General features: G+C 43.5%; 1 annotated feature.

Annotated features, from left to right (window-relative positions):
• Positions 755–1,433: an enhancer, noted in NCBI's record as "OCT4-NANOG-H3K27ac hESC enhancer chr20:59303390-59304068 (GRCh37/hg19 assembly coordinates)". NCBI's record gives its function as "activates a minimal SCP1, AML or CMV promoter by ChIP-STARR-seq in primed H9 embryonic stem cells {active_cell/tissue: H9 hESC(primed)}" and the evidence as "EXISTENCE:reporter gene assay evidence [ECO:0000049][PMID:30033119]".

The raw sequence follows: 10,274 nt of genomic DNA on the forward strand, positions 1-10,274 counted from the left end.
TATGGTTACTGGCTTTACATAACTCTGGCATTACCTCATGCTTCCAGTGGGGGCTGGTTTACTGGAGGGCTTTTCTTAACGATACTACTCACCCTCACTTTGGGACTTCCCTGGATGCCTGCACATCACAAAGAGTCTCCTCCATGCCCTTACCCTTCTCTGATGGTAGACTTCTATTTCTTATTTCTCTGTGCTTGTTAGCCAGGGGTGGGGAGCAGTTATGCTGTCCTGATCAACCCTTAGTCTCAGAAAATCTTGATATCCCTGGGTTTTGAGGGTGGGGCTGTCTCAGAGATCCTGCCCCTCTCTTACCACCAGAACGCCTGTTATGGTCCATGCCTAGGATGGATGCCTGCCACTTCCCAAAGGGTAAAATGTTTCTTATTTTCTCTTCCTCTCAGTCATAATGAGTTTCCACCTGTACTCAGGGGTCAACAAGGTTTGCTGCCCCTCCTGAAGCATCTTAAGACATTTGTAGAGGAGGAGGATTCAGGCAGGACATTGTGTCACTCCATGGTAGCCATTTCACTTCTATGAGCCTGCACCCCTAAGGGAGGCTTTCTCTAGCCTCTCTTTCCCAGTCTTTCTCCTGAGCTCCTGGTGGAGGTCAACGGAAAGGAATCTGCAAGTAAGTGCATGCCCATTGTGTCCCTCAGGATATTCTACACTTCGTTTTTAGCAATTTACACTCAATTCTGCTCACCTGTTTGCATGGCAGCCCCATCTTACTTGTGTGCTCTGCCACAGGTGAGCCAGTAATCATGTCTCATCTCCCTTGGATTTGACTTTTTGTCCCTTGTATTTCAGGCTACTTGATTGCCCTGCAATCTCAGTTCTCTGATGGGTTTAAGTAACATTCTGACTTTGTAGATTGTTGAGCTTTTACTTCTTGCGAGATGTGTGTGAGCAACCTTCTTTTCAGCCTTCTGCTGGAAGAGTTATATAGTCTATGAAGTCATGGCAAGAATTGTGACTGGCATGCAGTCAATGCTCAGGAAAAACGTATGAATTAAACTCACAATTCAGAAGTCGTCTGTTATTCCACAGGTGGGTTATATTGACTCATGTAGTTTATTCTCCAAACTGAGCCGGAGGCATCCTTTTGGAGCACAAATACTTCAGAGGCTTCCAGTGCCCTTAAAATAAAACATAAACCTCATTGCTTACTTACTTGGCCAGCGTAAGTCTGAACCTCATTACTCTTTCCTTTGTGCAGTGAGTGGTAATGAGCCTGATCTTCTTCCTTAAATAAAACACGTTTCCTATTTCATGCCCTTAAGTGTGCTGCTCCTTCTGTCCTGAAGAATGCCAGTATCCCGCATTTCCAAGGCTAGTTTCCTCTCTTCTCTCCTCAATGGCATTTCTGTGGTGAGGCCTTCCTTGAATAGAACCTCTACGATCTAATACAGTACCTGGGATTTATATTCTTCTTCTTCACACTGATACATGCTTTTTTGTGTCTCCAGCACTTCACATGCATGCTTGTGACTTTCCCATGGTGAAATATGAGTTCCATGGAAGCATGAATTCAGTTTATTTCCCTGCTGTGTCCCTGGGACATAGCACTTCTCAGGTGCTCAACATATCAAAAAACAACTGAATCAATGGAAATCTGCATTAACTATTGTTAAACAAATCCCCTCTGCTGCTCATCCTGAAACACCCTACATGGAGTTGCCCAATTGAGAAGCAGCTCAACTGCAAGGCACGGCCTGCAATAAGGAACGTCTGGGGCTCCCACTTTAATAAACCAACCCTTACATATCTGTCCACAGTGGTTAAGCCTGCAGGGCTCATTTCCCCAGTTAGCAGTGACCCAGCCTTTAAGTCGGCTTCAGTCTCTGCTGTGCCATAGGAGAGGCCAGCAAACTGTAAATGGCCAGAGAGTAAATATCTTTGGCTTTGAATGCCATATGGCTACAATGTCGTAACTACTCATCTGTGCAATGTAGCACAAAAGGAACCATAGACCATATGCAAATGAATGAACACAGCTGTGTTCCAGTGAAACTTTATTTACAAAAACAGACATTAATCCTATTTGGCCCACAAGCTGTAGTATGCAGATCCCTGGGCTGCTGACCAGTACCGGTCTGAGGCCTGTTAGGAATTGGGCCACACAGCAGGAGGTGAGTGGCAGGCAAGTGAGGATTACTTCCTGAGCTCCGTCTCTTATCAGATCAGCAGCAGCATTAGGTTCTCATAGGGGCATGAACCCTATTGTGAACTGCATATGCAAGGGATCTAGGTTGTGCGCTGCTTATGAGAATCTGATGCCTGGTGATCTGAGGTGAAACAGTTTCATCCTGAAACCATCCTCCCCAACCCCGTCCATGGAAAAATTGTCTCCATGAAACTGGTCCCTGTTGCCAAAAAGCTTGGGGACCACCGCTCTATAAGATCACCACCTCCCTCCTTAGGTGCTATCTCCAAAGGCCTGCATTTTTTAAAATCCATCACATGGCTTCTATTTTAACTCAGACTATTCCAAATATATTTGAAGCTTTCTGAAAATGGGTTCAGCCATGTTTGCGTGACAGGTTATCAGATGGAAAACACACTTAATTTCATTATTTAAATATAGTTTATTGAGTTATTCCTACATGCCAGGCATGGTGTGGAGCAGTTTCCATTCATCCTGTCACTCGATCTCCCAACAGCATGATGTGTGCATCACTATTTCCATCTGGCAGTGAAAAAAAAAAAAGTCTCAGTGTGTTCTTTTTTTGCTGTGTGTTTTTTTTTTATTTTTATTTTTTGATGGAGTTTCACTCTTGTTGCCCAGCTTGGAGTGTAATGGCATGATGCAACCTCCACCTCCCAGGTTCAAGCAATTCTCCTGCCTCAGCCTCTGGAGTAGCTGGGATTACAGGCATGCACCACCACGCCCAGCTAATTTTGTATTTTTAGCAGAGACGGGGTTTCTCCATGTTGGTCAGGCTGGTCTTGAACTCCCGACCTCTGGTGATCCACCCGCCTCGGCCTCCCAAAGTGCTGGGATTAGAGGCGTGAGCCACCACGCCCAACATCAGTGTGTTCTTGTGGTTAGTTATGGTGTTCAGAGAGAGTGGATCATGTGAGATCACAGTTGGTTCTTTACATTTACAAATACTGGCTGGCACTGAGCTGGTTCCTCAACACGTGCTAAATGAGTTTCTACTGAGTCTAACTGAAGCGGACGTTTACACTTTGACATCAACGTTGCAGTTCTCTATCATTCAGAACAGATGCATCTCTGCAGCTGCCAACTCTGGAGCCTGTGCTTATCCAATCTTCCTGCTCCATGAGACCCCAGAGTGAGTCTACTCATAGGATGAAAAAGCACTCTGTAAGGACCCTGGCCTGAGGAATGTCTATCCAAGGAGAGGCTCTTATTTTCATTCAAAAGATAATTGCGTGGAGACATTGACTTAACCAACACTGGGGTTGAGCCAAACAGTTATTGAATCATCTGTTGATCCAGTTACAATGGTAAATACGATCAGCCTGTGTAGACAAGAGATTAGAAAGATAGCTTTTTCTTTTCCCTCTAAAAGGAGTTGCACAGGTTACTGTGAGAACTGTCTAATTTCTGAATGATGTCATGGGGAAGAGTATGCATTTCTTCCAAGCAAATGCCAGGTTAAAGAGTGGTCAATGGGTAGAAGCCACCATAGGCACCATCATCATTCACCATCACTCATTTCAGGTTTATTGTAGAGCTATTTGAGCATTGGTTGGGTGCATGATGAAGTTATGGTTGCCAATATTCAAGGACATTCAAGGTGAGCACCCACTGAGGATATTCTAGAGAGCACTCTAATGATGCATGCAGAGTGTATCTAAACTCCTTTGTGTTCTTTTCCTTATGCAAGGCCATAATATTCTATTAGGACCATTACTTCAATTGCAGAGAAATATTTCTCATTAAAAAATGCCTGTTGAATGAGGACAGCTGGCAGGAAGAGCCACCTGTCCAATTAGCAGCAGCCCAGCCGTGCCTCTCCCAGATCCTTTGGCTCCCTGTAACCATCTTGGGAGCTTTCATTTATGTCTATAACGGTGTTCCTCATTGTTTTCTACAAAGCAAAAAATGTCTGGAGAGACAGCTGGTTCAAGACATCTTACCTGTATAAACAATATCTTTGCTTTCCAGTCTGCGGTGGCATTGTTCTGTCCCTGGTTGAATACGTTATGTTTGAAGACATTCAAGTTGTAAACACAGAGCCATCCATCCTTCAGCTAGGCAGGGGTTTGGGTAATTAACAACAATCAAAGTTGCTGTATTCAGAGGTTGGAAGAAGATCTGGAGGAAAGATTCTCACTCTTGGTTTAATTTGCTGATGAAAATGTTGGATGGGGAAGAAAGCTTAGTCTGGTCCTCTCATCTTGCAGGTTGAGAAATGGGGGCTGGATCAATGTAGGTGGCAAGACAAGAACTTATGATTCACTTTCCTTCTCTGAGACCAGCATTACTGCATTTATGCAACACAGGAGAAGACTGAAAGTTTGAGGGGAGAGAATGGCTTTCCTTCATTTGGAGTTCTTGAGAAATCAGTTTCTGAGTATGGGCCTACTGGGATTTTATTCCATTCTTCCAACCTCGCCAGTCTTCACAAACGTTTGTCCCACTACTGCAGGAGTGGCAAAACCTTAACCTGCTTTTGGGCTTTACTTGGACAGTTTGTCAAAGAGCTGTACTGAATACAAAAGTGCTCAAAAAAACAACAGTGTGTACCTGGGAACCCTAGAAGCCATTCTTCCCTCTTCTAAATTAGATCCACTGGATTATGAACTTTTGGCTGGGTTGGAATTGCTCCCTATACAGCTCTGAAGACATGCCTCTTTATCTTCCTGTCCTAAATTAGAAGCAGGATTTGAGAAGGCGTCTTAACTAAGAGAATAAAAACATTCTCAAACAGATTCGATTGGAGGGAGGAGCTCATACTACTTTTAAGGCCACTGAAGAAATATTCATTGCATATGGAACTGTGTTGCTCTTGGTATTTCCTGAAACAGTTCTCATTTCAAACATTCTGCCTTATTACCCAAGTAAGTAAACTCATACACACAAAAACGTCTTTCCTCATGTTGATTTCTGGAATATGATCCCTGTTACTTTATGGAGTATGAAGATAGTAAATCCAAGTCCTCCTCCTCAAGAAGCTTTCTGTCTGGTTGAAGAGCTCTACATGCATGAAAAATGAGCCAAACAATTCGAGAGATATTTGTCTGCAGGGAAGGATTAAGGGCCAAGTGAGTGGAACAGGAGAGGACTGGTGGGTAGAGTCCTCAGGTGCTTGTCCCTGTTGCAGGTTTTGCATTTGGAGAAAGACTGTGTGCCTTGTCTCATGAGACAAGATAACGTCTGGCTCAGCTTGGTGACAGTGCATTGAAGGTCCATGTGGCTTTGTCTGCCTATACAACAGTAGCAGTGCAGATGAGCTTAGATTCCTTTTGTTTTACTGGTATCATATTGACATTTTATATTCTTATTTTGTACTCAGCGACTGAGCAAGGCAGAGTTCATTCCAAACACTGCAGCTGAAAGACTAACTTGCTTCCTAGAGGACAATAGTTAAATACATTCTCAACTTCCGAGTCCTCCCAATTGAAGTTTTGGTGCCTACAGTGGTGCCCACACTTGTGGCTGATGCATACGTGAATCCCTTTATCTGTTTTCATGGACAGCTGCGTTCGTGCTCACATGGCGTGGTCGGAGCTCTTCCATCATAAGGATGTTGGGCAAAACCTTCTTTGTGCACCTGTACCCACCTATTTAATTTGCTCCAGTTAAAAGAGAAACAGTTTGAGTGAAAGGGCTAGTATCATTTATTTTAGTGATAAATATTTTAATTTGTTCTAAGACTTCCAAAAATCACACTCATTTTTCACGTACATTTTTAAAAGTATGTAAAAGAAACATAAACTTATGAAAAAAATGTTAAAGAGCATATATCTTGTTAAAACAGCGGTTATTTATTAAAGGTAATTGTAGCTATTTAGTTTGGTGGAAATAAAACTTTATACACCCCAAAAATATGTGGGGGAAAATTATTGAATGCCTTATCTAGCTATGAATTCCTTTGAACTATTGACTATTGAAGTCCTCTGACTATGGACTATTGAAATACCTATTGATGTCTTGCCAGGAAGCCACTGTCTCACAGCCATAGGAGCAAGGAAAATTTGCCTGATCCTGCTGTGGTCTCCTCTTGCCTTCTCTCATTTCCTCCCTCACGACTCACAGCAAGTAGAGGTGCACACACTACTTGTTTTCCAGGAAAGGCTGAGGAATGTTTAGGGAGCAAATGAGTGAGAGAAAGGTGACTTCATCTCCTGAGAAAGCAAGGCAGAAGGAAGGAAGTGACGCTGGAAACATCTCTGAATATGCGTTCTCCTGGAACCTGAGTCCTGTTCCCTAGGACTGACTCTTGCACAGGAGGGGGCAGAGATTAATTGTGCTGGAGTGCTGTAGATTTTTGGCTAGAGAGCTTCCTAAACACAAGACTCTTTAACACAAACTGAGGAGGAAATGCTCTGCGGCCCTGGCTACTCAAAGTGTGGTCCATGGACCAAGAGCATCAGCATCACTTGCTGGATTGGGAGAATGCAAGGTCCCAGGCTCCACCCAGGCCGGTTGGGCCAGAGCGCAGATTTTACCAAGGTCCCAGTGGGATTTCATATGCGCAGTAAGGATTAGGAAGCACACTGCTGTGGGTGACATGAGAACACGCTTTGTCTCCTGGGTGAACAGTGCAGTGCGGACTGGAGGTCAGGGTTTGGCTTCTCCCACATCAATGCAAAAAGTCATTTATTGTTAGCAAAAACTAGCAAGCTTTTCTAAGGTGGTATTACAAAAATGTATGAATGAAGCTGTTCTTTTATCAAGAGACGTGCACACATATAGGCCCACAGCATCCAGTCTCCTTCCTCCTGGGTCTCCACTGCCAGCAGCAGAGGCCTGTGCATGCGAGCTCATCTCAATCCAGACTGCTCAGTGGGAGCTTTGAAAATGCACCTGTCCAGGCCCTGCCCAAGAAGAATGAAGTCAGAAGATCTGGGAATAAGTTTCAGGCACTGGTACATTAAAAAAATGTTCCCTAGTCATTCTAAGAGTAGAGAATTGATGGGCAAAGTTAGGTTTCAGGAGAAAGTTAACTCAGGGGTATTTGAAAAGATGAGGCCGACTTTTCTACAACCTTCAAATAAACCAAAGTCACTTGTAATAGTGTGGCTTTCATCAGAGTCCTGAGTAGGAACCGCAATTAATAGGCACACACATACATACATATGGGTGTGTGTATGTCTATGTGCACGTGTGTGTGTGTGTGTGCGCGCCTGTGTGTGTAAAACCTCCATCTCCATCCCAGGCCTTAACCACCCCCCCCTCTTTTTTTTTGCTTCACTGTAAGGACACAGTGCAATTATGTAAGTTACCTGAGCTGGGCCACCTAAAAATTCAAATATTCATGAAAGATTGACTGACTGACTCCATTCAAGCATTTTGTAGGACTCTATTGTGCATACTTGGTTTTAAAACACATACATATTTAATTTTCTCTTCACGAGAATGTATTTATAAAAATAATAATAAGCAGCATCCTCAGAGGACAGAGGAAATAAGACAGATGGGAAGAGAAGCATCAGAACTGTCAATTGGAGGAAGGAATACCCTAACGTGTCTTTAGAACTGCTGATTATGTGTTCTTTGCTGGAATATGGTTAAGACCTTCTCCATGGAATTTATAAACACCCCAGACCCTGAGGTCTCATTTCCATGATTAGGCCTTTGTCTAGAACACCACCAACAGCAAAATCCTAGGAAATACTGCTCATGTCCAGGGTGTGGAGTAAAAATACTGGGTCCACTGCCATGTAGACGGTGTGGTTCCTACTCACCAGACTATACTGTGGAAGACAAATTACTTTGCTTTATTTTCTCTTAATCCTATTGACTCTCACATCAAGCCACCGACACATCGAGTGGGTAGGAAAATCAGTCTGCACTATCAGCAGCCTACATTTACCCGGAACTGGGACCCAGTTCTGCAGACATTGGAGACGTCACTGCCATTTTGGTCTACCCAGTTTTGGTTATCACCGAGCCATCTGTTCCCCTGGCTGTGTGAGTGTGTGATATCTGAAGGGTTATTGGCTTTTCTAATCTACTGGAAGTGTAGCATAATAAATCTCTGCAGAGCTGGGAGGGCCTAGCCTGGGCCCCTGTGGCTTTATCCCGCCTCTGTGGTAGGACCTAGGTCCCTCCCATGAGCCACCTCCCTCCTGCCATCTCCCAGATCTCGGTAAGCCCTCTACCTCTCTCCTTCACTCTATCCATCTCTACCCTCTCTCCACTTTCCTAGAAGTCACTCTCTAGGATTAAGCTTTCCATCTCCTAGAGGACACCTGGAAAACTCAGGCTTTCAGAAAAAGAAGATGAGGGCTACCCTCAAACAGCTTCTGCACGTAGCCCTTCAAAAACCCTCAGGCCACCTGAAAGGGTGGGGGATATTGGGAGGGAAAAGTGGAGGAACAATAGAGTGCCTGGGGCGTAAATTAAAATCTCAGTGAGTGAATCAGCTACAGATTTGGAAAATATTAATATCCCCTAAGGCAGGCATTTGTCTCAGGGTTAGCTGCAACCAGGCACTCATGTAAGTCAGTTAGAGGACTCAGAAACGAGATGCCTTCAGCCCTCCTGCCTCCTGTTCCTCCATTGCTCCTGCACAACCCTGGGTGATGTGGCTTCCTTGGCCACTGTGGTATTTTCACCATGTTAACTGGCTCCCCAGTGGGTAAAAATGGACAGAAAATGAGCCAGTGAAGGACAAAAACCAGTGTGTCTTGAATAACTATCCTTGCTATTCATGGTAGACAGGAGAATCCAAATAGAAGCAAAATTCCTGGGAGAAGCTAATGCAACAACTTCATCAAAGGATTCATCACTACATTCTAGCCACAGGTGTGATGGGCCATCTGGACGATGGCTGGGCACTGTGCTGGGATAGACTCTGGCTTATTCATGTTGTGCATGAATGTCACATGAATGTTACATTCAGTACAGTTGTAAAATCCCAAAGGGAATTCTGAAACAAACTTTTTACAAAGTATAATGTGCACAAAGCATAGTGCACAGAGGCAGAGAACAGTTTCCAAGTGAACTCACCTATTTATCTGGCAATTTTGCCAATAAACAGAATATCACCAGCATGCTAGATTTCCACAGTTGCTCATCTGGTCCCCTGAAGGAAACCATTATCCAGCTCTCTAGTATTACATATTCAATACTAAGTTCAATACTGCTTCTGAACTTAGTGTAAATGCATTCAGACAGTATTTACTTTCTCTGACTGGCTTCTCTCATTCACTGCTTATAAGATTCACCCATGTTGTTGTGTTAGCCGTAGTTTGCTCTTTCTCATTAATATATAATGCTCCCTTGTGTGAATATTATATTATTTGTTTATTCATCCTGTGTTGATGGGTTATCTTTGGTTTAGCACCATTCCAAGTGAAGTCGATATAAATATATATGCATTTTTTTAAATAGATGCATTTCTATTGAGTGTGTAACTAGTAGTAGAGTGTTGTGTTTGGGTCAATTTTGGTAGTGATACTGTTTGAATTTGTGTCCCCTCCCAAATCTCATGTCAAATTGTAATCCCAAGTGTTGGAGGGGAGGCCTGGTGGGAGGTGACTGGATCATGACGGCGGACTCCCCCCTTGCTGTTCTCATGATAGTGAGTGAGTTCTCAGGAGATATGGTTGTTTAAAAGTGTGCAGCCCCTCCCCCTTCGCTCTCTTCCTCCTGCTCCAGTCATGTAAAATGTGCCTGCTTCCCCTTTGCCTTTCACCACGATTTTAAGTTTCCTGAGGCCTCCTCAGCCATGCTTCCTGTACAGTCTGCAGAACCATGAGCCAATCAAGCCTCTTCTCTTTATAAATTACCAAGTCTCAGGTAGTTCTTTATAGCAATGCGAGAATGGATTAATACAGACACATACAACCAGTTTTCCAAAGCAGCTATGATCATGTCTACTCCCACCCCAGCGTGTGAGAGTTTCAGATATTCCACATCTTAGCCCACACCAGGCAGCCATAGTCTTTTTTACCTTTGGCCATTATGGTGGCGTAAATAGTACATTGTTGTTGTTTGAATATATATTTTCCTGTTGATTAATGTTGCTGAACACCTTTTCATATATGCATTGTAAAAGTGAAAATATTCATTAGTTAAGTACCTTTCCTGGTATTTTTCTCATCTAAATTTACTTTTTCTACATTTTTTATTG

The sequence above is a fragment of the Homo sapiens genome, chromosome 20 (genome assembly GCF_000001405.40).
Source record: "Homo sapiens chromosome 20, GRCh38.p14 Primary Assembly".
Classification (NCBI taxonomy): Eukaryota; Metazoa; Chordata; class Mammalia; order Primates; family Hominidae; genus Homo; species Homo sapiens.